The sequence below is a fragment of the Homo sapiens genome, chromosome 12 (genome assembly GCF_000001405.40).
Source record: "Homo sapiens chromosome 12, GRCh38.p14 Primary Assembly".
Taxonomy (NCBI): Eukaryota; Metazoa; Chordata; class Mammalia; order Primates; family Hominidae; genus Homo; species Homo sapiens.
The window spans coordinates 113,387,981-113,413,671 of NC_000012.12; the positions used below are offsets into that span (position 1 = coordinate 113,387,981).

Below are 25,691 nucleotides of genomic sequence, written 5' to 3' on the forward strand. Positions count from 1 at the left end.
TGGGGCAAAGCTGATGGCGGGGCAGGAATCACAGTCGGAATTGGGCTGTGGTTGGGGTCACAGTAAAGGTGACAGTATGGGCTGGGCACGGTGGCTCATGCCTGTAATCCCAGCACTTTGGGAGCCCAAGGTGGGCAGATCACTTGAGGTCAGGAGTTTGAGACCAGCCTGGCCAACATGGTGAAAACCCGTCTCTACTAATAATACAAAAATTAGCTAGGCGTGGTGGCGGGCGTCTGTAATCCCAGCTACTCAGGAGGCTGAGGCATGAGAATTGCTTGAACCCGGGAGGCAGAGGTTGCAGTGAGCCAAGATCACGTCACTGCACTCCAACCTGGGTGACAGAGCAGAGACTCAAAAAAAAAAAAAGTGACAGTTCAGAATTGGGCTCTGGGGTCAAGGTCAGGGTGGGAGGCTGGGTGCCTGGATTGGGGCAGGCCAGGACCCCTGCTCAGCTGCGGCTCTGCCCTGTCCCCAGGTGACCAGCATGTCACTGGCCAGGATCCTGAGCCTGCTGGCGGCCAGCGGTCCCACGTGGGACCAGGTGCCCCCGTTCCAGTGGAGCACCTCGCCCTTCAGCGGCCTGCTGCACATGGGCCAGCCAGACCTCTGGAAGTTCGCGCCTGTCAAGGTTTCATGGGACTGAAGTTCTGTCCCTGCTCTGCTGCTTTCGCCCCTGCTGACCCTCGTCAGGGTCACCCCCGTCCCAAGGCCACCGGACTTCTAACTCCAGCCCCTCCTGGGGGCTTCGTTCTCTGATCTGGGGTCTGAGTCATCTCCTCCTAGAGTGGGTCACGAACCTGATGGGGCTCAGAACTGACCCCCTCTCTCCCCCGAGGTGGGTGGGCACCGTGGCGTCTCTTCTGCCCTGCCCTAAATCTCCCACTCTCTGTTTCTGTCTGTTTCCTACTGCTGCTCTCTCAACCTCATTCCCACCTCTGGGGCCCCTTCCTCGTGCTTCTCCTTCCTGAGGGTTTGGGAAGGTCCTGGGGCAGACTCTGGGGCTCCCATGGGGTGGAAGGAGCCTGTTCCAGCACCCTTCTCCCAGCTGCATTCCCACGGGTGGCCCTGGAGCTGGTGAGCTTTGTCTGGGCGTTGTCTTCGGCTGGCATTGCTCCTCCCAGCTCTGGCCCCTCTGCTCCCTCAGGAAGCAGTCCCCTCGTCTCCCTTTCTGGGCAGCTTCCTTGAGGACAGAAACTTGAAAACAAACACAAACCAAAGTTTCTGGCCATCTGTGGCTGGAGGGTTCTGAATGTCCTCTCTCCATGTCAGGCAGAGGGTCAGCCCCCATGCTTCTGCCTCAGGCCCCACCCCACCCCACCCCAGGCCTGCCCCTCACCTCAGGGCCATACCCACAGCGCCCTGATGGAGGAACCAGACCGCAGGCTGTGCCACCATTAAACAAGAGCGGCTGTGGCCCCATGCTGTGCTTCTTGGGGTGGCAGGGAAGGTGGGGTCAGCGCTTTTTCTCCTCTCAGGTTTGGGTTCTGCGCCATCCCCCATGCAGCCTCCTGTGCAGCCCTCTGTCTGTCCTTCTGTCCATTCATTCATCTGCCAACATACTCACCCATCATCCATCTGCACAGCCTTCCACCCACCCATCCGTCTTCCATCATCCATCCATCCATCTACCTATCCATTTATCATCCATCCACTCACCCATCCAACCACCCATCCAACCATTCAGCCATCTCCATCTGTCCATTTTCTTTCTTCTTCTTTTTTTTTTGTTTTTGTTTTTTCTGAGTGGGAGTTTCACTCTATTGCCCAGGCTGGAGTGCAATGGCATAATCTCTGCTCACTGCAACCTCTGCTTCCTGGGTTCAAGCGATTCTCCTGCCTTAGCTTCCCAAGTAGCTGGGGTTACAGGCATGAGCCACCATGCCTGGCTAATTTTGTATTTTTAGTAGAGACAGGGTTTCACCATGTTGGCCAGGCTGGTCTCGAACTCCTGGCCTCAAGTGATCCGCCCGTCTTGGCCTCCCAAAGTGCTTGGATTACAGATGTGAGCCCCCGCACCTGGCCTCATTTGTCCATTTTCCATCCACTTACCCACCCACCCATTTACTCATCCAGCCATTGACTCATCCATCCACCTATGAGATCAGACAGGGAGGGATCCTTTTTTGTATTGGTCTGTATACCACAGCATGGCTTACGAAGTTCTTATCTATCTATCACCCATCCACCCACCCATTTATCTACCCACCCATTCATCCACCCACCCATCCAACTACCTATCCATTCATCCATCCACCCATCTGCCAACGCATCCATCCATCCACCCACCCAATCATCTACCCACTCACCTATCCACCCATCCACCTACCTATTTGTCACCCATCCACCCATCCATCCATCCAATCACCCATCCAACCATCAATCCAACCATTTTCATCTGTTCATTTTCCATCCATCTACCCGTCCACCCATTCACTCCTCCATCCACCTACCTATCCATTTATCACCCATTTACCCATCCATCCATCCATCCTTCCAACCATTTATCCACCCATCCAAACATTTCCATCTGTTTTTCCATCCATCTACCCATCCACCCATTCACTCATCCATCCACCTTCCTATCCATTTATCATCCATCTACCCACTCACCCATCCATCCAACCTTCCAACCATTTATCCACCCATCCAACTATTTCCATCTGTTCATTTTCCACCCATTTACCCATCTACTAATTCACTCATCCATCCACCTACCTATCCATTTATCATCCATCTACCCACTCACCCATCCATCCATCCTTCCAACCATTTATCCACCCATCCAACCATTTCCATCTGTTCATTTCCATCCATCTACCCATCTACCCATTCACTCATCCGTCCACCTATCCATTTATCACCCATCTACCCATCCATCCACCCACTCATCCATCCATTCATCCATCCACCCACCCACCCGTCCATCCACCTACCTATTCATTTATCACCCATCCATCCACACACGGGTCTGTGCAGATTCATTAATATCCACCCATGCATCCATATTTATCTATTTTCTATCCATCAGCCATCCATTCATTCATATCCATCCATCCATCTATCCATCCAGATGTTTATTGAGCACCTGTGTTCTGGGTCCTATTTGGGAGCCTTGTTAACCACCAAGACCTTCCTAAGCCATATTGTGGTATACAGACAGATACAAAAAAAAAGGCTCTCTCCCTGTCTGATCTCATGCAGCCTGCCTTGGAGACAAGACTCTCCCAGTGCTGTGTGCTTGGAGAGAGGAAAGCACACAGCCCTGGAGTCAGAGACCTGGGTTTCAATTCTGTCTCCACCTCTTATTAGCTAGCTATGGACTCCTCTCTGAGCCTCGATTACCTCATCTGTGAAATGGGGTAATGGTGTGAGCAGCGTTTCCCTGGGGGATGTGATGCAGCCCACTTGGGGCCTCATGCACTCAGCATCTCTTTATTAGCAAACACTTATTGAACCCCTAGTACATGCCAGGCACTGTTATGAGGTCCCGGGGATACTTTATAACAAAAGGGACAGAAGCATTCCTGCTCTTGTGAAGTTTACATTGACTAGATAGTAAACAAAATAAATGAAATATGCAGTGTGTCAGTGCTGGTAAACCCGTGGAGAAAATAAAGCAAGGTTGGGGTCTGGGGTTGGGAATTGACTTGTGGTTTTATCTTATTTTCCTTTTTATTTATTTATTTATTTTTTGAGACGGAGTCTCACTCTGTCGCCAGACTGGAGTGTAATGGCACAATCCCGGCTCACTGCAACCTCTGCCTCCTGGGTTCAAGTTATTTTTCCTTTTTGTAGAGACAGAGTCTCACTGTGCCAACCAGCCTGGTCTTGAACTCCTGGGCTCAAGCGATCCTCCCACAGGCGTGAGCCACTGCGCCCAGCCCTGAGTGACTCTTAAACTTCAGTTTGAACTTGGGGTCATCCAGAAAGTACCCTGAGGGTGGGGTTCCCTCCATGCTCTGGAGCCAGCCCCAGTAATTCCTCTTTGATCTATGATACGGGCTTCAGCATATGCTTTTGTTGGAAGAGAGGGCTCCATGTTTGAGGAGGGTTTGCATGACATTGACTTCAAGTCCACCCACCCTTTCCCTCTCCCAGAGATGGGTGTCCAGTGTCAGCTCACACACGCCCAGGGGAGGGGGCCTCACTTCTTTGCTTCCATTGGGTCTGTGATGAAATAATTCTGACTTAGTAGGAAGGACTTCATATCAGAATGAAGTTGGCCTCCCCAGCTGCTTCTGCCTTCAGCGGAGGCAGCCTTTGTCCCACCCCAAGTCCCTCTTGTTTAGCCACCTGCTTCCTGTGGTACAGGGATGCCCCTGTCCTGGCATGCAAGACTAGCTGGAGTCAGGCTCCTGGCCTCACTCTGGGGCCCCAGTTGAGAGCTGGGGCTGAGAGCAGACTTGGGGTGGAAGGAAAGCAGGAAAGGAGACAGCTGATGATGGGAAAATGCACAGGATCTTTGTTTCATAAATATATTTTATTTTTCAATGAAAAAGTTTGCACATTAGAAAAATTAGTAAGGGTCAGGGGTGGGCTTCCTGGGAGGATGGCTGAGATGGTTCCTCAACCCTGGTTGGTGGCCCTGTTGACCTTCACTGGGAACAAGTTCAGGGGCGAGGTCACAGCTTTGAGGAATTCCTCACTGCTGTGATTCAGGTCTCTCCTGTCCACCCTGCTCTGGGTACCTGGTGTGTTACTTGTGGGCACTTGTCACGCCAGCAAGTTGGCTAAGGATGGGCACAGAGCAGTCACACAGATACCAAAAAGGTCCAATTCATAGCCTCGCTGGCTGCCGACCTTTGGCCTCTGCATAGTGGGCTCCTGATAACAAGAAGTTAACCTGCACCCAGGCCACAGGTGCTCAGCCAAACATACGACGAGGCGCTGGATAAAACTCCAGCCCCTCCAGGGGTCTCTTGGGCTAGGAGAGCACAGATCGGTAAGGGGTCCGTCCTCACTTGGGCAACCTATTTGTCATGCCCAGCTGTTCCTTGAGCGCCCGCAGCTGGGCCAGGCTGATGTTGCTGCCCCCGCAGACGATGACCACGAGGGATGGCAGCGGGGTTCGGAGATTCCCCTCCAGTTGGAGCTTCTGGATCACGTGGCTATAGACAGCGGCCAGGGCTGCCCCGCAGGCGGGCTCCACCAGGATCTTCTCATCATCTGCCAGAGAAGGGGCGTGACAGGGGCGTGGCCTGAGTTTCCCAGGGTGCACAGGAGCTGACAGGCCATTGGCAGGACCTGGGAATACTGAGCCAATCAGCTCTCAGCCCTGGCTGCAGCCGCAGGTCCTGAACCAAACGTCCCGTCATCGGCCTGAATTGGCCCTTCCAAGCCTGAGCCAGGGCCTGGGTTTCATCATGAGTGCTAACACTGATAGAATGAGTGTGGTTGCGTGAGCACTGTGTTGAGAAGGATTCTGAGGCATCATCTGAGCAAGAGTTCCATGGTTGATTAGCCAAGTGTGCAGCAGGTACAGAAGCATAAATGGTACTATTTTTTTCTCTCTTTTTTGCCATCCCTGCCCTAGACGGAACCCAGAAAGAGTCCAGCCTAGTTACAGACTCACCTCTGAATGAATCAAACTCTGAGCCCCATGTTTTCCTTTTTTTACCCTGGCTGCCAGGAAACTCAGAAGCAACATTTTAAATATTCACTTATTGTTTTCTGCTGCTATGGTTATCAGGCTTACTTTTCTATTTACTTTTCCATTATGTGTGGCTTTTGCTTTTCTATTTCTACACGGCATTGTATTATCTTCTATTAATGGAAAATTCTAGGCAGAGGTGGAAGACAGAACTGTGAAGGAAACTTGGGGTGAGTGGGATCCCCAGTGGCATACCAAGTGGACAGCCACTTAGCGCCTGAGTCAGCAGGTCAGGTCATGGGAGGACCTGGCACATACCCACGAACTTCTCAATGGCGGCCACAGCCTCCTGGTCCGAGATAACTTCAGAGAAAATGGGGTGTTCCTGAAACAGCTTCAGGGCCTGAGCCCCCACAGTCTTCACGCCCAGGGCCTTGGCAACACTGAGAGAAGTGGGAACCCAGAAGAGGATGGGAGTGGGGGAAACAGGAGAGAGATGGGGGCAGGGAGGGAGAGAAGGAGATGGATGTGAGACAGAGAAGGCAATGCATCTGGGGGCAGGGGGACAGGTATCACCTCTGCAGCTGTAAAACCCTGAAAAGCCTCAGGGATCCCCAAACCAAGTGGGGTCTTCTAATAAGGTGCAGAGTGTTTGAATTGACATCATATAGTATATTCTTTAGTATCATTTTTTTAATTTTTTTGAGACTGAGTGTCACTATGTTGCCCAGGCGGGTTTTTGTTTTGTTTGTTTTTTTGTTGTTTTTTTGTTTTTTTTTTTTTTTAGACGGAGTCTTGCTCTGTTGCCCAGGCTGGAGTGCAGTGGTGCGATCTCAGCTCACTGCAATCTCTGCCTCCCGGGTTCAAGCAATTCTCCAGCCTCAGCCTACCGAGTAGCTGGGACTACAGGTGCCCACCACCACACCCGGCTAATTTTTGTATTTTTAGTAGAGATGGGGTTTCACTATGTTGACCAGGCTGGCCTCGAATTCCTGACCTTAGGTGATCCACCCCCCTCGGCCTTCCAAAGTGCTGGGATTACAGGCATGAGCCACCATGCCCGACCCCAGGCTGGTCTTGAACTCCTGGGCTCAAGTGATCCTCCTGCCTCGGCACAGCGTCATATTCTGATCAACACTAAGTCAGGAGCAAATGCCTAAGAGGACCCTTGTTGTTCCCTGCTAGGACTCCCTGCTTTTGCTCCGGGTTACAACCGCTACCTGGTTAACCCTCATGAAGCTTAGCACCACTCTGCCTGCCCACATCCTGCTGTGTCCTTCAAGGCTCAGGATTAAGGCCACCTCCTCCAAGGAGTCCTCCTGGGAGAGTACTGAGTCCCACGGCCCTATGTGGAATTCTCAAATAGTCCTCCCTGCTAGTAACAAGCGCCCTGAGTACTTCTTGAGAAAGTGTTAGGTGCCAAGCACTTCACAAGCATTATTGAATTCACACAAGAATTCTGCTGTTGTTAATTGGTTTGATTTTGGAAAGGGGAAACTGAGGCAGAGAGTGTACAGTCACTTGCCCAAGGTCACACACCTAGGGAGTGCTGGAGCTGGGGCTGCAAGCAGGATCTGTATAACTTCAAGACCTGCACTGGTAACCAATGTGTTGACGCTGTCCCCAGCTTCCTGGGGTGACCACTAGCTCTATTCCCAGCTCAGCTGCCCCCTCTCCCTTCCCCAGGAGCATCTTGAGGGCCTGAGCCACCTCAGCCCTCAGCAGCACGTGGTTTACAGTAGGCGCTCAGCCATGACGTCTTCAGTCCCTACAGTGTGGGACACAGCAGCTCCAGATGCCAGGCTCAGGAATCTGGAAGAAGTTCTTACCTGGCTGGGCTCAGTCTTCCCTATCTGTAGGGGAGACTATTGTCTGCCCCGGTGTCTTTTCTAGCTGCACTTATGGGCACCTGGTGTAAAGACATTTCCCAGCCTCCCTTGCAGCTGGATGTGGCCATGTGACTAAGTTCAGGCCAACGAAAGGTAAGTGGAAGTGTTGTGTCTGTCTTTGAAGGTTGGAGCATAGCCTTCTGCCCTTGCTTCCCCATCCCTGCCAAATGGAATGTGGGTGTGATAGCTGGCACTCAGGCAACCATTTTGGACTGAAACACTACATGCTAAGGATAATGGGGAAACAAACTCAAGGGACCTGGCGCCCTGACTTTTCATGGTAAAGTTCAATCTCATTTAAGTCACTGTTATTTGGGCCTTCTGTGTAATGGGGTCAAAACCTAATCCTAATTAAATACTATCTACCAGCCGGGTGCGGTGGCTCACGCCTGTAATCCCAGCACTTTGGGAGGCTGAGGTGGGCAGATCACCTGAGGTGAGGAGTTCGAGACTAGCCTGGCTAACACGGTAAAACCCCATTTCTACTAAAAATACAAAATTAGCCAAGTGTTGGGGCAGACGCCTACTCCTGAGGCTGAGGCAGGAGAATCGCTTGAACTTGGGAGGCAGAGGTTGCGGTGAGCTGAGATTGTACCATTGCACTCCAGCTTGGGCAACAAGAGCGAAACTCTGTCTCAAAAAACAAAGACAAAAACAAACAAACTATCAAAGGTTTGGGGCTTGGATATGAACTCCTTAGGAGCAAGACTTGTGTTTATGCACCACTCTCTCCCCAGATCAGCCAGTGTCTTACACACAATAGGGGCTCAGTAAATGGTTGGCAAAGTAATGAGGTATGTAAAACCTTGCCACAGAGGACTCAGTAAATGATTCCTATGAGACCTTCCTTCCTTCCTTCCTTCCTCCCTCCCTCCCTTTTTCCTTTCCTTTCCTTTCCTTTCTTTCTCTTTCTCTCTTTTTCTTTCTTTCTTCCTTTCTTTCTCTTTTTTCTTTCTTTCTCTCTTTCTTTCTCTTTCTTTTTCTTTCTCTCTTTCTCTTTCTCCTTTTTTCTTTCTTTCTCTCTCTTTCTTTCCTCTTCCTTTCTCCTTCCTTCCTTCTTTCCCTCCCTCCCTCCCTCTCTCCCTTCCTTCCTTCCTTCCTTCCTTCCTTCCTTCCTTCCTTCCTTCCTTCCTTCCTTCCCTCCCTTCCTCCCTCCCTCCCTCTCTCCCTTCCTTCCTTTTTCTTTGTTTCTAGACAGGGTCTTGCTCTGTCACCCAGGCTGGAGTGCACTGGCATGATCATGGCTCACTACAGCCTCAGTCTCCTGGGCTTAAGCAATCCTTCCCACCTTAGCCTGGGACTATGCGTGTGTGCTACCACGCCCAGTTAATTTAAAAAAAAAACAAAAAACTTTTTTTAGAGGTGGGAATCTCTCTATGTTGCTCAGGCTGGTCTTGAACTCCTGGCCTCAAGTGATCTTCCTGCCTCAGCCACCCAAAGTGCTGGGATTACAGGCACAAGTCACTGTGCCCAGCCTCATATGAGGCTTTTCACGTGAGGAAGTGTGACATGTTGGAGTCACACAGACTTGGGTTTGAGTCCAAGCTGTACCACTCACTGGACGTGGCCCTGGGCAAGCGATCAAAGCCTCCATTGTCTCATCTGTGAAACAGGCTGACATCAGGATCTATCTCAAAGCCAGCCCTAAGGGGGACTCCCCAGTGCTTGCTGGACACCCGAGGGAGGCACCCCAGCTGCTCACCTGGTGATCTTGGGCAGGGAGACAAGTTTGCCTGCGGTGGTGGCAGCGTGGAAGCTGTGGGCACCAAAAGTCTCCATGGCGATGACAGGCACGTCCCCCCAGCCCACCTCCTGCAGCCCCTGGACCACTCCACACAGCAGGCCCCCGCCGCCCACTGACAGCGCGATGGCCCCCGGCTTTTCCCACAGTGTCTCCTTCAGCTCTTTCACGATGGAAGCGTGGCCTTCCCTGGAGGGTGGGGAGAGGGGGTGGCAGGTCAGGGCTAGGCTTCCTGGAGACACCAGCTCAGGTTTGCACCGGCCTTATCCCAGCTGATGGGGCCTGGAGCTAGTTCCCTCCCCACCCCCAACCTTGGCTTCTAGCTGCCAGCATCTGTGTCTCTGCCTGAGGACCTTCTCTGGCCACCTGAGCTACCTGCAAACAGAGTCAGGAGATGGCAGCCCCTTAAGGCAGCCCTCAACCAATGGCTACGAGTCGGTGTACAAACTCCCCTGCTCCTTCTCCCAGGGGGCGGGAAACTGCTGTGCGCCTTCTGCACTGGCTCCCAGGGTCCCCGAGGGATTAAGCTCTAGCCACCCACAGCGGCCACCTGCCTTTGAAAGCCCCCTTCCTGACATTTTGGACTGGATGATAGAAAAAGAAAAAAGAAACAGCAAAGCCCCCTTCCTTCCCTGGCTTACTTCCCCACTCCCCCACTGAATCACCTCCCAAATAAACTCCTTTCCCTGAAACCTTTGTCCCCAAGTCTGCTTCCAGGAGGACTCAACTGCAGACACTTGGGCATCTGTGTGCTTGCATGTTCAGCCTTGGGTGTGTTGCATGTGCAGCCGTGGATAATGGGCATTTGGTGACATGTGTGCACTTGCTGCTGCACCTGGGTGTAACGTGTGTTTCTTCTTTTTTTTTTTTTTTGTTTTTTTTTTTGAGATGGAGTCTCACTCTCTTGCCCAGGCTGGAGTGCAGTGGCGTGATCATGGCTCACTGCAACTTCCACCTCCTGGGTTCAAGCGATTCTCCTGCCTTAGTCTCCCTAGGAGCTGGGATTACAGGCGTGTGTCACCAAGTACAGGTAATTTTTGTATTTTTAGTAGAGATGGGGTTTCCCCATGTTGGCCAGACTGGTCTCAAACACCTGACCTCAAGTGATCCTCCCACCTTGGCCTCCCAAAGTGCTGGGATTACAGGCGTGAGCCACTGTGCCCCGCCTAAGTGTGCTTCTACATGGTGGTGTGCGCACACATGTGCAGCTGCTGTGCATGAGGACGTGATGATGTGCATCATAGCAATGCCTGCCCAGTGATATAGGGCAGTGGCTGCCACCCCCACCAAGTGACCTTGAACTCCACATACCAGATGAGGGGGTCATCAAAGGGGGGAATGTAGACCCAACCCGGGTTGTTCTTCGCTAGGGCCTTGGCCAGCTCGAAGGCTTCATCCAATAACTGCAAAGCCACAGGGGAGATAGGAGGGGGTGAGGCACAGGGGGCACCCTGTCCAGCCACCAGGCGCCCTCTCTCTTCCTTGCCCTGGGTCGGCACTCACCTCACCCACCACCTTGACTGTGGCACCTTCATTCTTGAGGCGCTCAATGGTGAGAGCAGGTGTGGTGCTGGGCACCACGATGGTGGCGGGGACGCCGAGTTGCCTGGCCGCATATGCAGCCGCCATGCCTGCGTTGCCCGCTGCCAGGGTCGGGGGTGGAGAGCGTGTCAGTGCGGGAGCATCTGGGAGCCCAGGCAGGACTGCGTACCCTCTACTGGGGGCTCTGGAGTTCCCCCCTCACCTCCCCACCCTGGGCGACTGCTGGCCTCCCCCTGGAATTCCAAATTGGTGGCTGCTGCCATTGTTTTCAGTGGCACATTGCTGGGGAAACCAGGGCTCAGAGAAGCAGAGTGTCTGATCCCAGGACACACAGCAGAGGACAGGATGGGGAAGCAGATCACTTACCCGAGGAGCAGACAAAATGTGCACAGCCTTGCTTGGCCCACTGTGGAGACAACAGGAGAGGCACTCAGGCCCACCTCCCAGTCATTGCCTGTGCTCTTCCTCCCCACCTGGAATACCTGCCAGGATTCCAGTGGACACGGACGTTTCCTTCACTCAGAATTTGTTCTACCCTTGTCTGAGACTGCACCTCCCATCTCCAAAGAGACTGGCTCAGGAAAGGGTGGAGGAAAATAGGCGACTGATGGCTCTGGGATCAGTCCCAAGGAACCCTCCTGGAAGGGCACCCCTCAAACAGAGGAAGCCCTAATGGTGGACGCTCAGTCCTTGCGGGGAGTCAGTAGGCTTATCCTACAACGCCTTTAATTTCACACAGCACTGGCCCTGCCCTGTTGAGGAAGGAGGACCTGCCACCCCTGCCCAGATAATGCTGACCCGGTCCCGTACCCTCTTGCAGAAGTGCCCAATGCCCCGGATCTTGAAGGAGCCGGAGGGCTGGGCACTGTCCATCTTGAGGTAGACGCTGGTGCCGGCCATTTTGGACAGGGCCATGCTGTCACGGATGGGGGTCTTCACGTGCAGGGGTTCTCCAGACATCATTCCTGGGAGAAAGGAAGGAAACCCAGAGGGTTAGGAGAGCTAGCCCCGGTGCCAGCACTGCCAGAGTGATCCCTTCCTTCGCTTCCCAGCAAGCCAAGCAAGGCCTCAGACGAGAGAGCATCCTGGAGACCTGGGCTCTAATCGCAAGTGGGCCACCTACTCACCATGTGACATCAGACAGGTAATCACGCCTTGGCCTCAGCTCTATCAGGGATCACCCTCCACTCCTGACCTCTCACACATTTGCTGGGAGGCTGAAGAGAGAACACTCAAACCTTGGAGCTTTCAAAATGCATGAGGTGAGGCCGGGCACAGTGGCTTATGCATGTAATACCAGCACTTTGGGAGGCCAAGGCTGGTGGATCACAAGGTCAGAAGTTCGAGACCAGCCTGGCCAACATGGTGAAACCCCGTCTCTACTAAAAATACAAAAAATTAGCTGGGCATGGTGGCGCACGCCTGTAACCCCAGCTACTTAGGAGGCTGAGGCAGGAGAATCACTTGAACCCAGGAGGCGGAGGTTGCAGTGAGCGAGATCGCGCCATTGCACTCCTGCCTGGGTGACAGAGCAAGACTCTGTCTTGAGAAAAAAAAAAAAAAGAAGAAGAAAGAGAATTAGCCAGGCATGGTGGCAGGCACCTGTAATCTCAGCTACTCAGGAGGCTGAGGGAGGAGCATCACTTGAACCGAGGAGGTGGAGGTTGTAATGGGCCAAGATCGAGCCACTGCACTCCAGCCTGGGCAACAGAGTGAGACTGTGTCTCAAAAAAAAAAAAGAATAGTCTATCTATCTATGTGAAAAATTCAGGGACACCCACACACACAGATAATCCATCCACACACACATACTCCATCCACACACACACGATCCACTCCCACACACAATCCATCCACACACACGCACAATCCATCCACACACACATATAGTCCACATGTTTCTTTTATATATTTTTTTAATTTTTTTATTTGAATTTTTTTTTGTTTTGTTCCACATGTTTCCATGTGCACAGAGCATTTCAGGAAACATGCATGACAGGCTGGCCAGGGTGGGGCCTCTGAGGAGAGCTGGCCCTCGGGATCATAGCACCCACCTTTTGCACAGTTTGATGTTTTACCATGTGCCTCTATTACTTACTTAAATGCATACATTTAAAAAAAACCTGGGCTGGGCGCGGTGACTCACACCTGTAATCCCAGCACTTTGGGAGGCCGAAGCGGGCGGATCACGAGGTCAGGAGATCGAGACCATCCTGGCTAACATGGTGAAACCCCGTCTCTACTAAAAATACAAGCTACTTGGGAGGCTGAGGCAGGAGAATGGCGTGAACCCGGGAGGCGGAGCTTGTAGTGAGCCGAGATCGCGCCACTGCACTCCAGCCTCGTCTACAGATCGAGACTCTGTCTCAAACAAACAAACAAACAAACAAAAACAACCTGGCAGCTGGCTCTTCTGACATGCAGTTCCAAGTATCTTGGCTTAAATGGACGATCCCAGGACCCAGCAAAATGCCTGACTCATAGTAGATGTTCAATAAATATTTATTTAAAAAAAAACAAAATAACCTAACTTTTGGGAAGCCCAATATTCAGTTAGGAAAAGCTCTTTCATAATTATTAATTTTGTCATAATTATTATAGCAGTGACTAATCACAGCTTTTAAATTTTATTCATTCATTCATTCATTCATTCATTCATTCATTCCAGTAGAGATGGGGTTTTGCTATGTTGGCCAGGCTGGTCTCCAACTCCTGGCCTCAAGCGTTCTGCCCACCTCAGCCTCCCAAACTGCTGGGATTACAGGCATGAGCCACAGCACCTGGCTTGCTGTTGTTTTAAGTCACATTTTGGGGTAGTTTGGTACACAGCAACAGGAAGGGGAATATTAACATAATTTGCCCAAAGTCACGCTGTGAGTGAGGCAGGGAGGCAGGATTTGAACTCGGGCAGCTGGCTCCAGGGCTCAGGCTCTCTCTGCGACCCATGGGTGTGGCTCAGGCTCCTGCTTCTGGATGGGCTCTGGGGGATGAAGCAGCTGGGGTGGCCCGGGGTCTAGCCACAGCCACGTCCACCCACCCAGCCTTCCCATCTCCCCTGCCTTCTGCTGAGAGTCTCAGGGAGGATTTGATTCTCCTCAACTTGGGCCGGGCCAGAAGAGATCAGCTGACGATGGCCAAGGGGCTCTCTGGTTCCCCCTCCCTCCACCATCCCAGAAGGCCAGGCAAGGGTGGCTAGCCAGAGACCCATCTCCAATGCCACCTTGTCCAGCCCCCTGTCCTGGGCACTCCTAGCTTGGACATCCATCCCCCGCTCCCAGAATGAGCCAGACATCCCTTGGTCAGAGGGAGAATGAGGGGTGGGGATTCCAACTGCCCCGCCAGACTTAGCATCCCCTAAATAGGTCACCCCTTGTCTATCTGAATTAACTGACATTCGGGGCCTGGGAGGGGAACTTGAACAGACACCCTCTCTCCGCTGGATCTCTCGAATAAAAATCAGAGACTGGGGCAAACTTCAAAACAGGACATCCCCAAATCGGCATGAACTTTCAGCTCCTGGAGGTTAATCCCCAAACAATGGGATCCCGGTTTTTATTTAGTTATTTTTAGAGAACCTCCCTCTGTCACCCAGGCTGGAGTGCAGCGGCATGATCTCGGCTCACTGCAACCTCCGCCTTCTGGGTTCAAGCGATTTTCCTGCCTCAGCCTCCCAAGTAGCTGGGATCACAGACGTGCACCACCACGCCCGAATAATTTTTGCATTTTTAGTGGAGACAAGGTTTCACCATATTGGGCAGGCTGGTCTCGAACTCCTGACCTCAAGTCATCTGCCTGCCTTGGCCTCCCAAAGTGCTGGGATTACAGGCGTGAGCCACCACACCGACTGACTTGACATTAAAGGCCGGTGTAGGTCACCAAGGCCTGGCCTCAGGGACAATCGGGGTGGGAGTCAGAGGAGCCGGCCACGAAGACCCTTTTCAGGTGGGTTTGGGGCGCCTCTCTCGCCGTTTGTCCCAGGCGGTGCCATGGGATGCCTTCAGGTAAAAGGACAGGGCTCCCTCTGCCGCGGCTTTCCGTGAAGTGAGCATCCATTAACTGCATCCAGCCTGCCCCAAGGATCCCTGCCCCAAGGATCGCAAGACTTCAGAAGAGGTTGTGCCCGGGGAGGAGGAGGGAGGGAGCCCTGAAGCCGCTGTCTGCCCACTCCGGCAGTCGGAAGCCACCTTCCCTTTCACTTGGTTCACAGTAAGTGCTCAGTCGATATGAACTATTATGAAATCTGGGCTGGACACCTTAAGTGCAGGTCATCCTTTCACCGTCACAACCACCTGAGGAGGAAGGCGCTATGCTCATCCCCATTCTACAGATGTGGAAGCTGAGGCACAGAACTGGACACAAACTCAGTGTTTAGGCCCAAATGGCTGTTTTTTAAAAATTTGAGACAAGGTCTTGCTGTGTCACCCAGGCTGGAGTGCAGGGGCGCAATAATTGCTCACTGCAGACTCGACCTCTTGGGCTCCAGCGATCCTCCCAACTCAGCCTTCCCAGTAGCTGGGACTACAGGTGTGCACCACCACACTATACTAATTAAATTCTTTTTTTAGGTCAGGAGTTCGAGACCAGCCTGGCCAACATGGTGAAACCCCATCTCTACTAAAAATACAAAAATTAGCCGGGCGTGGTGGCACACGCCTGTAGTCCAAGCTACTCGGGAGGCTGAGGCAGGAGAATCGCTTGAACCCAGGAGGTGGAGGTTGCAGTGAGCCCAGATTGTGCCATTGCACTTCAGCCTGGGTGACAGAGTGAGACCTCTGTCTTAAAAAAAAAAAATTTTTTTTGTAGAGATTGGGGGGGGTCTCACTCTGTTGCCCAGCTCAGTCTTGAACTTGTGGCCTCAAGCAACCCTCCCACCTCAGCCTTCCAAAGTGTTGGGATTACAGGCATCAGCCACCATGCCCAGCCTTGACAGACTCTTTCTATGTCTCCCTCTTCCCCTGGGAAACCACAGGCTAGCCCGGGACACTCCAGTCCTGAGGTGGGACTGAGGATGGGGCCACTTACCCGGCAAAGGTGATGGGTCTGAGCAGGAGTCAGAGCCAAGCCAGCGAGGGAGGGATCAACTGAGTAGATAGCCCACGAAGAGAGGGGGCTGAGGACGGGTGGACAGTCTTCTGAATGGTCCCAGGGGCTACTTGGTCCTGGGCTTTATTCCTCTGGCACCTCTGGGCAGCCAATGGGGCCCTGGGGCTGGCTACACCCCCCCCTCCCTCCTGCCAGGACCCACCCCCCTGGCTTGAGGCCACTGAGGCTGTCAGAAGGGAGGTGGAATCTGGCCAAGCTTTCTTCTTTGGCAGCTTCCTCCTGCCTTTCCCACAACCCACTCCTCCTCCCTCTTTCCACTTCCCCTTTCTGTCCTCAGTTTCGTGAAAGGAAAATAAAAAATTGGGACCCCCAACTCACTATGCCAAAAGAAAAAGAATTAAGCTAAAAGCTGAGTCATGTAAGAAACTGCCTTTCCTTTAGTTCCTAAGCAGATAGCTTCAGATGAAAGGTTAAATATTGGCTCCGCATTTTGGGAGGCCGAGGCGGGTGGATCACCTGAGGTCAGGAATTCGAAACCAGCCTGGCCAACATGGTGAAATCCCGTCTCTACTAAAAATACAAAAATCAGCCGGGTGTGGTGGCACGTGCCTGTAATCCTAGCTACTCAGGAGGCTGAGGCACAAGAATTGCTTGAACCTGGGAGGCAGAGGTTACAGTGAGACTAGATCTCGCCACTGCACTCCAGCCTTCACAACAGAAAGAAAAAAAAAAGTTAAATATCTCCACAGGTCGCTACTCTATGTTCACCTTATCTTATGTAAAGTGCCGATTTATTGAGATCAAGACAAATACATAATTGGCTACTTCCCTATCTGCCCCTCTTCTCTTACAAACTGTGGATTTGGTAATGTGGCCATAGCCTCCTTCTTTCCCCTCCAGCTTGCTTTTCTCCTTTAAATACTGACACCTAAAGTCATCTCTGGAGAAAAGCACAGACCTGTCTCCCAGGTGCATTCTTAACCCTGGCGAAATAAATTTCTAAATGGATTGAGTCCTGTCTCAATCTTTTTGATTCTTTTTGATTTACAGATTGGAGACTCATGAAAGGGACCCTGGGTGGAGGTGGCCCTGACCTTTGACAAGTCTCCTACTGGTGCTTGGTGGGTCTTGCTCTGTCACCCTGGCTGGAGTGCAATGGCATGATCTTGGCTCACTGCAACCTCCATCTCCTGGGTTCAAGCGATGCTCCTGTTTCAACCCCCCAAATAACTGGGAGTATAGGCATGTGCCACCACACTCAGCTAATTTTTTGTATTTTTAGTAGAGATGGGGTTTCACCATGTTAGCCAGGCTGGTCTTGAAGTCCTGACCTCAAGTGATCCACCCGCCTCAGTCTCCTAGAGTGCTGGGATTACAGGCGTGAGCCACCATGCCGGCCTTGAGCGATCTTGATTGCCCTCCAAAATAGGACAGTTTGCTGAGGCCTGGGAGCTCCCCACCTCCAGAGAACTCCTGATCTCCCACAATTGGTTGATATCTAAGCTTGATTTCCCTGAACAGCTCCTTTTCTGCGTTTTACTCACTTCCAACAAGGAAGGTGAGTTTTCTGGCTTCCATGATGATGGCAAGCAGGCAGCTCCTTTCTGGAGTTTCGCTTGTGTCCGGCAGGGAAGGCAAGTTTGAGATTTCCCCGCTTCTAGGATGGTAGAGAGCGGTCTTCAGCCTGGGCCCCATGACTAGAAGTTAGGGTTAACAACCAGCTGGTCTTAATTTCTCCCTACTTTTAGAGCGTGCAGTAATCGTATAAATTGCTTGATTGTTTGTTTCCCTTGCTTAACTGTTTTTGTTTCTGTTGTTGTTTTGTTGCTTCTGTCTTTTCCCCATTGGACTGGACCAACTCCATTTGACTTGGTCAAATCTGAAGGAAAGTTTCATATTATGGCGAACAAGGTCTCATGAATTGGCTAAATACCCACAGCTGGAAAAAAAAAAAAAGGAAAAAGAAAAAACAGCCAGCAAAAGAAAAAAGAGAGAGAGAGACAAGGATTTTGATTACCTGAGGGGCATTATTTACATAACAAGGCCATCTTTTGCTAGCCAAGCCAAACTGAAAGAGGCTACATGGCTGTCACCTCACGCTAGTTCAGTAGCTAAGATTCTGTTCCTTTTTCACCACCGTGGCCTGGGCTTGGTTCCTAAATCAAGTCCTTTCTGGTTTGATGTTTGTGTTACTTTTGAAATATTAGCAGTTTGTCCCAGCTAAAATATGGTGATGAGATTTAAAAGGATTTTTTAAAGAGCTCAATGGTTAAAAGCTTAATTAAAGGCGAATATCTAAGATGTGTGTGTGTGTGTGTGTGTGTGTGTATTTATTTATTTATTTATTCATAGGGCCTTAATGCATTTTTTTCTCTCTTAGGATCTGTTTTTTTTTTGAGATGGAGTCTTACTCTGTCGTCCAGGCTAGAGTGCAGTGGCATGATCTCAGCTCACTGCAACCTCCACTCCCTGGGTTCAAGTGGTTCTCCTGCCTCAGCCTCCCAAGTGGCTGGGATTACAGGCGCACACCACCACACTGGGCTATTGTTTTTGTATTTTTAGTAGAGACAGGATTTCACCATGTTGGCCAGGCGGGTCTTGAACTCCTGGCCTCAAGTTATTCACCGGCCTTAGGCTCCCACAGTGCTGGGATTACAGGTGAGAGCCGCCCCACTTGGCCAGGATCTTGTTTTTTGAGAAAAAGTTTTCTTTTTTCTTCTCAGTTGACTGATTTCTGTTTTTTCCAATTTACTTCTGCCTGTCTCCTTTCTCTTGCCACCCTCTACAGCTCAAGGAACCTAAAATAATTTCTAACAGCTTGGGACTCCCTTAAGGAAAACAGAGAAAGTGCCAGACTCCTTTTTGGGGAGAAACCTCTGTTTTTCCATAACCTTATGGAGCCCTAAGAATATAAACAGATAAGTTCCTCTCAGATCTTCAACTGCTTGCTTTTGTTGTGTGTTACCTGACTTCTTTTTTGACTAAAATCTTTATTACAACAGGGGCTACTCTTGAATGTTTAAAACAGGAGAGGGTCTGGATGTGTGGGCCTAGTTATATATAAAAAAATTTTTTTTAAAGATAAGAGAGAGTATGGTTTAGACCCTTAGAGAAATGTCTTTGCAACAAAGTACACTGTAAAAGCATCACACAGCCTAGGTCCACCATATCATTCTCTTTGGAGACCCGGGATTCAGTGTGGGCTCTGTCCAGAGCTCTGAGTTCCAGTTAAAAGATAGAAACTAAATGTAAAACTACCTATCTAAATAAAATATATTTATTTGATAGATTTCTATAACTTAATGTTTGATTTGATTTGCTTTTTTTTTTTTTTTTGAGACTCTGTTGCTCAGGCTGGAGTACAGTGGTGCGATCATGGCTCACTGCAGCCTTGACTTCCCAGGCTCAAACAATCCTCCCACCTCAGCCTCCCAAGCTGGTCTTGAACTCCTGAGATGGGAGGAGGTCGAGCCATCCTCCCATCTCAGCCTCCTAAAGTGTTGGGATTACAGGTGTCAGCCACCATGCCAGCTGTGGCATCCATTTTAAATCTCTCTAACACACCCAGACTCTCTTTTCTCTCTTTCTCTACTTTGAGATAAACATTTTGCTATCTGATTTTCATCTAAGAGTTGTTTATTTAGTATGTAAATTTAAGGCTATCTAGCTGGCAGTTGCCTAGGGTAATGAAACAGGTTATCCAGAAATTAGAGGTTGGGCTGGGCGTAGGGTGACTAGCACTAATTCCAGCATGTTGGGAGGCCTAGGTGGGAGGATGGCTTAAGCCCAGGAGTTTGACACCAGCTTGGGCAACATAGTGAGACCCCATCTCTACAAAAAATAAAAAATTAGCTGGGTATGGTGGCATGCAACTATAGTCCAAGCTACTTGGAAGGCTGAGGTGGGAGGATCACTTGAGCCTGAGTGGTTGAGGCTGCAGTGAGCCATGCCCACACCACTGCACTCCTGCCTGGGCAACAGAGTGAGACCCTGTCTCAGAAAAAAAAAAAAAAAAGAAAGAAACAAAGAAGAAAAGAAAAAGAAATTCAAAGTCTTAAATAGGAGGAAAAAAAAGGAAGTCTTATGAATTTATAAGATCTACCTCTGTCTGTGTCTAATACATGTATCTAATGTTACTACTAAAAATAGACAACAGAGCTCTAATGAAATGATTTAAAGAAAAAAGTACTTAAATCAGATACTTTATCAGAAAAATAGAGACTGTGAGCCCAAATGCTTTCTCAGGATTCACAAAACTTGGGACACCAATTCACTCTGCCAAAATTGAGCTGGAAGCTGAGTCATGCAAGAAGCGGCCTTTCCTTTCGTTCCTAAGCAGAGAGCTACAGTAGAAGCTTAAATATGAGACAAACACATAACTGACTATTCCCCTACCTGCTCCTCTTCTCTTGAAACATGTGGGTTCAGTAGTGTGACCGTACCCTCTTTCTTTTCCTTCCAGCTTCCAGCCTGCTTTTCCCCTTTAAATATTGAAGACGTAAAATCATCTATGGAGAAAGGCAAGGACCTGTCTTCTGGTTGTGCCCTTGCCCTTAACCTTGGCAAAATAAACTTTTAAATCGATTGAGAACTGCCTCAGATACTTCCTTTTTTTTTTTTTTTTTTGAGATGGAGTCACCCTGTTGCCCAGCCTGGAGTGCAGTGGTGAGATCTTGGGTTGTTGCAACCTCTGCCTCCTGGGTCCAAGCAATTCTCCTGCCTCAGCCTCCTGAGTAGCTGGGATTACAGGCACCCACCACCATGCCCTGCTAATTTTTTGTATTTTTGGTGGAGACGGGGTTTCACCATGTTGACCAGGCTGGTCTCGAACTCCTGACCTCAAGTGATCTGCCCACCTTGGCCTCCCAAAGTGCTGGATTACAGGCATGACCCACTGAGCCCGGCCTGATACTTCTTGATTTATAGTTTCTTCACTTGCAAATGGGGACAATATCTATTTTCCAAGGACCGTTAGGAAAATGGAATAAGGATTGTGTGAGATAATGCACTTAAAGTTGCTAGCATGTGCTTGGCACGTAGTAGGTGCCCAAGAAACAATAACAGTAATAAAGCTAGAATGTCTAACAGCCACTGAGCCCTCAGCAAGTACCAAACCACAGAGGACGCGGGTACTGTTATTATCTCCATCTTACAGAAAGGGAAACAGGCACATGAGATTGTCATTTGCCCAAGATCACCCAGGCAATAAGAGGGAGGAGCTGGCCTCAGAACCCAGGCAGTCTGCTCCTAAACCTGCAATCCAAAACAGGCTGGGTGCGGTGGCTCACTCCTGTAATCCCAGCACTTTGAGAGGCTGAGGCAAGCCGATCACTTGAGGTCAGGAGTTCGAGACCAGCCTGGGCAACATGGTGAAACCCTGTCTCTACTAAAAATACAAAAATTAGTGGGATGTGGTGACGGGCACCTGTAATCTCAGCTACTCGGGAGGCCGAGGCAAGAGAGTTGCTTGAACCCGGGAGGAGGAGGTTGCAGTGAGCTGAGATTGCACCACTTCACTCCAGCCTGGGTGACAGAGTGAGACTCTGTCTCAAAAAAAAAAAAAAAGTTTCTTACCCCATCAATATACCCCATAAGTATATACACCTACTGTGTACCCACCAAAATTTTTTAAAATTAAAAAAAAACTAAAAACCGCCAAGCAGAGCAGTTCTGTATTGCCTTCCCCCCTCATCCTTTTATGACCTTTGGCATGAAGGGGTGGGGGGGGGGGGGTAAGACCCCAGGGGAGCAGGGTTCAAATCCTGGCTCTGTTGTTTCCTAGCTGTGTGGCAATGGACAAGCTATTCTGCCTTCTGGAGCCTCGATTTGCTTATCTGTGAAATGGGAATGATAATGGTACCTCCCTTCTAGGCTTAGGTGACTTGACAATGCATGTGTGAGAGGGGCCTCGAATTGACTGAGTGTTTGGTAAGTTAGCAGCCATCGTCATCGTCATCATCATCATCATCATCACAGAACTGGAAGGTCTTGCATCTGAAAACTCTCCATGCCCCATGCCAAGCCTCTTGTTTGTTCCCAGCTGTGCGGAGATCTGTCTGTCCACAGGGCAGCACACACATACACACACACACACCATACACATGCACAGAGGTCTGTCTGGCTGGCTCTCTCCCTGGCCCCCTCAACAAAGCTCTCTTGTCAAGCTGGCCAGGACGAGAATATTGATGAGACAGAGGGCAACCAGGGTACAAACAGCCTGCTCAGCCGTCGTCCTCTGTGGGACAAGCTGTCACCTCTCCCTGGCCCCCTCTGACCTTCCATGGCGCTCCCAGGCTCCCTCCCCAGTGGAGCATCCATGGGTGAGTTTTGGGGATGAGGGGTGGCAAACCTAGGGGGAGGCGGGGATGGCGAAGTTCACGTGGAGACAGAGCCTCCCTCGTGTGCACCTGAGTGTATACAGCTGGTGCTCCCATTGCTGGAGCACCTCCCAGTGCCCGATCCCATGCCTTATGTTTCCCAGGTGGGGTCTCTCATAAGCCCCAGACAACCACAGGAATGGGCATTTTGATTCTCAAGGTACAGGTGACGAATAGGCTCAGAGGTTGGGTAAAAGTGTCCATGGGAGCACCAGGTAGTGAATGGCAGTAGAGGAAGGTCAGCTCAGGAATCCTGAGTCCTTTGAGGACACAGGGTCAGTGGAAAGGGTTGAGCAGGAAGGGGGTGGGAGAGCTTGCCTGCCTGGTAACCTTCAGAGGTCTCAGATTTAGGGTTTTGATGATATCTCCACATGAGGTTACCCACGAAGTCAGGGAGTTCAGACTGAAGGAAGACAGCAATTCACTATCTTACACCACCAAATTAATTTACACTCCAGTGTCATGATTGAATATGGGGGGGGGGAGATGGATTTGGAGCTGCAACTGGTAGGGACAAGATGACGAACTCTCTAGACCTCTGCATGTTGTTCCATTTGCTTCACCAAGAATGTATCAGGCTGGGCGTGGTGGCTCACACCTATAATCCCAGCACTGTGGGAGGCCAAGGTGGGAGGATCACTTGTGCCCAGGAGTTCGAGACCAGCCTAGGCAACATGTGAAACCCTGTCTCTACAAAAAATACAAAAAGTAGCCGGGTGTGGTGGTGTGCGCCTATAGTCCCAGCTACTTGGGAGGCTGAAGTGGGAGGATCACTTGAGCCTGGGAAATGGAGGCTGCAGTGAGCCAAGATTGCACCACTGTACTCCAGCCTGGGTGACAGAGCAAGACTCTGTCTCAATTAAAAAAAAAATGCATCAAAGCTGAGTGTGGTGGTGTGCACCTGTCTACTCAGGAGGCTGAGGTGGGAGGATCGCTTGAGCTCAGGAGTTCAAGATCAATCTGGGCAATGTAACAAGACTCTGTCTTAAAAGAAAAAAAAAAGAATGCATCAGTGTTGTGATCTGAAAAACATCAACTTAAGAAAATGGATGATATAAGAACCAAAAAAGGGGAAAAAGACAAAATATATATCACTGTCTTTGATATCCCGTCTGGGAATATGCTTTTTAAAATAACAACTCGACTGAGATATAAATCATGTAGCAATACAATTCACCCATTTAGAGTATGAATTTCAGAACATTTTCATCACCCCAAAAAGTCTCTCCCTATCCTTCCCTCCCCACTCCAGGACCCTGGCAACCAGTCTGTATTCTGTCTCTGCGGATCTGCCTGTTTTTTTTTTTTTTTGAAATGGAGTCTTACTCTGTCACCCAGGCTGGAGTGCAGTGGCACAGTCTTGGCCCACTGCAACCTCCACCTCCCAGGTTCAAGTGATTCTCCTGCCTCAGCCTCCCAAATAGCTGGGATTACAGGTGTGCACCACCATGCCCAGGTAATTTTTGTATTTTTAGTAGAGACAGGGTTTCACCATGTTGGCCAGGCTGGTCTCGAACTCCTGACCTCAAGTGATCCTTTGCCTCAGCCTCCCAAGTGCTGGTATTACAGGCGTGAGCCACCGTGCCCAGCTGCCCTGTTCTTGTGTCATTTGGTGTAATGGAATCACACAATGTGTGGGCTTTTGTGTCCAGCTGCTTTCACTGGTGGCACGTTTTCACGATTCATCCACATCGCAGCACGTACCAGTCCTCCATTCCTTCTCATGAATAATATTATTCCATCCTATGGATAAGCCACATGTTGATTATCTGTTCATCAATTCATGGACATTTGCTTTCTGAGTACATATTCATTTTTTCTTTTTGAGACAAGATCACACTCTATTGCCCAGGCTGGAGTACAGTGGCACAATCATGGCTCACCACAGCCTCAGCCTCCCAGGCTCAAGTGATCCTCCTGCCTCAGCCTCTCAAGAAGCTGGGACTACAGGTGTGCACCACCACGCCCAGTTAATTTTTGTATGTTTTTGTAGAGACGGGGTTTCACCATGTTGCCCAGGCTGGCCTTGAACTCCTGGGCTCAACAAATCCACCTGCCTTGGCCTCTCAAAGTGCTGGGATTACAGGCATGAACCACTGAGCCTGGCAACCTCTTAATTTTTAAATATGCAACAATAACAACAAAAAACCCTACACATGCCGTACATGTGTGTTTCTTTGTCCCGTCATGTGGATGGGCTGACTGAGAACCTAAGAGGACGAGGGGCTTGCCCTAGGTCACTCTGGGGAGAATGGGGGCAGAACCAGTTAGAGTGGCCACGTGATAGGGGCATTCTGACCAGTCCATCAGCTGCTGGAGGGGTCTCAGGGAAAGGCTCGAACCTCAGAGGGATTAGTTCATACCTGTGATTGTAGTATCCCAGGCTTGTTCATTTCCAGACAGCAAGCAAATCACTTCCCTGAGAGGCTGTGTAACCTTGTGGTGGACAGCATGGGCTGTGCAGTCGGACAGGCCCAAGTTCAAATCCAACCTCTGCCATCAACTTGCTATGTGACCTTGAACAAGTCACTTAACCTTTCTGTGCTTTGGTTTCTTCAACTAAGAGTAGTTTCCACCTCTTAGATTTGTTATGAGGCTTAAGTAGCTTAATTGATGTAAAGCTGTAAGGACAGTTCCCAGCACATAGTCAGCACTCAAGAGGTGATGGCTGGACCAGGCGCTGTGACTCACGCCTGTAATCCCAGCACTTTGGGAGGCCGAGGCGGGTGGACCACTTGAGCCCAGGAGTTGGAGACCAGACTTAGCAACGTGGCAAGACCCTGTCTCTACAAAAAATACAAAAAAAATCAGCCAGGCTTGGTGGCAAGTGCCTGTAGTCCTGCTACTTGGGGGGCTGAGGTGGGAGGATCGCTTGAGCCCAGGAGGTCGAGGCTGCAGTGAGCCGAGATTGTGCCACTGCACTGCAGCCTGGGGAACAGAGTGAGAGGCTTTGTCTCAGAAAAAAAAAAATAGAGATGGTCATTTTTATTTTCTGGTGCTTAAGAGGGCATTAGGGCATTCATGTCTGTAGCTCCGGGTGCTGGAGCACAAGGGTGCTCTTCTCTTACCTAGTTTTCCTTTAAAAGGTCTTGGATGACTGGGTGAGCCTGTAGTCCCAGCACTTTGGGAGGCCAAGGTGGGCAGATCACCTGAGGTTGGGAGTTCAAGATGAGCCTGACCAACATGGTGAAACCCCTTCTCTACTAAAAATACAAAAAATTATCCGGGTGTGGTGGCTCATGCCTGTAGTCCCAGCTACTCGGGAGCCTGAGGCAGGAGAATCACTTGAACCTGGGAGGTGGAGCTTGCTGTGAGCCGAGATCGCACCACCGCACTCCAGCCTGGGCGACAGACGGAGACTCCGTCTCAAAAAAGGAAAAAAAAAAAAAAAAAGAAGAAAGAAAAAAGTCTTGGGAAGCAAGAAGGAAAGTGCAAGTCACCTTCTGTTCATTTCGCAGATGGACAAACTGAGGCCCAGCTCCATCTAAAACAAGCCTGAAATCCTA

General features: G+C 50.4%; 2 protein-coding genes across 5 annotated transcripts in view, besides 4 other annotated features; one reads left to right on the forward strand and one right to left on the reverse strand.

Annotated features, from left to right (window-relative positions):
• Positions 1 to 3,649, forward strand: part of PLBD2 (phospholipase B domain containing 2) — a 33,043-nt gene extending 29,394 nt beyond the window's left edge. For all 4 annotated transcript variants that reach the window (NM_173542.4, NM_001159727.2, XM_017018977.2 and 1 more), the window contains one exon: positions 479 to 3,649. In NM_173542.4, coding sequence (NP_775813.2) covers positions 479 to 646 — 168 coding nt within the window. In that variant the 3' untranslated portion in view covers positions 647 to 3,649. The remainder of the gene's footprint in view (positions 1 to 478) is intronic.
• Positions 3,650 to 4,464: 815 nt separating this feature from the next.
• SDS (serine dehydratase) lies at positions 4,465 to 15,907 on the reverse strand. The gene is made up of 8 exons (NM_006843.3): positions 15,788 to 15,907; positions 11,576 to 11,730; positions 11,132 to 11,171; positions 10,727 to 10,866; positions 10,535 to 10,626; positions 9,185 to 9,412; positions 5,912 to 6,036; positions 4,465 to 5,169 (listed from the first exon to the last, which is right to left on the reverse strand). The coding sequence occupies exons 2-8, from the start codon at positions 11,726 to 11,728 to the stop codon at positions 4,961 to 4,963; spliced, it is 987 nt and encodes a 328-aa protein (NP_006834.2). The 5' UTR covers positions 11,729 to 11,730; positions 15,788 to 15,907; the 3' UTR covers positions 4,465 to 4,960.
• Positions 5,234 to 5,433: an enhancer, noted in NCBI's record as "active region_7074". NCBI's record gives its function as "activates an Ori minimal core promoter by ATAC-STARR-seq in GM12878 lymphoblastoid cells {active_cell/tissue: GM12878}" and the evidence as "EXISTENCE:reporter gene assay evidence [ECO:0000049][PMID:35858748]".
• Positions 13,344 to 13,845: an enhancer, noted in NCBI's record as "H3K4me1 hESC enhancer chr12:113839129-113839630 (GRCh37/hg19 assembly coordinates)". NCBI's record gives its function as "activates a minimal SCP1, AML or CMV promoter by ChIP-STARR-seq in primed H9 embryonic stem cells {active_cell/tissue: H9 hESC(primed)}" and the evidence as "EXISTENCE:reporter gene assay evidence [ECO:0000049][PMID:30033119]".
• Positions 13,846 to 14,345: an enhancer, noted in NCBI's record as "H3K4me1 hESC enhancer chr12:113839631-113840130 (GRCh37/hg19 assembly coordinates)". NCBI's record gives its function as "activates a minimal SCP1, AML or CMV promoter by ChIP-STARR-seq in primed H9 embryonic stem cells {active_cell/tissue: H9 hESC(primed)}" and the evidence as "EXISTENCE:reporter gene assay evidence [ECO:0000049][PMID:30033119]".
• Positions 25,404 to 25,587: a silencer, noted in NCBI's record as "fragment chr12:113851189-113851372 (GRCh37/hg19 assembly coordinates)". NCBI's record gives its function as "represses an EF-1alpha promoter that drives an FKBP-Casp9 reporter gene in an ReSE screen in HepG2 liver carcinoma cells {active_cell/tissue: HepG2}" and the evidence as "EXISTENCE:reporter gene assay evidence [ECO:0000049][PMID:32094911]".

What these genes read in the sequence shown, in the direction of transcription:
- SDS (NM_006843.3), bottom strand. Translation starts at nt 11,728, where the DNA reads ATGATGTCTGGAGAACCCCTGCACGTGAAGACCCCCATCCGTGACAGC. An exon ending in ACATTTTGTCTGCTCCTCGG is followed by an intron (nt 10,867 to 11,131) that starts GTAAGTGATCTG and finishes CGACCCTGGCAG; the next exon opens with CGGGCAACGCAGGCATGGCG. An exon ending in CAGTCAAGGTGGTGGGTGAG is followed by an intron (nt 10,627 to 10,726) that starts GTGAGTGCCGAC and finishes GTGGCTTTGCAG; the next exon opens with TTATTGGATGAAGCCTTCGA.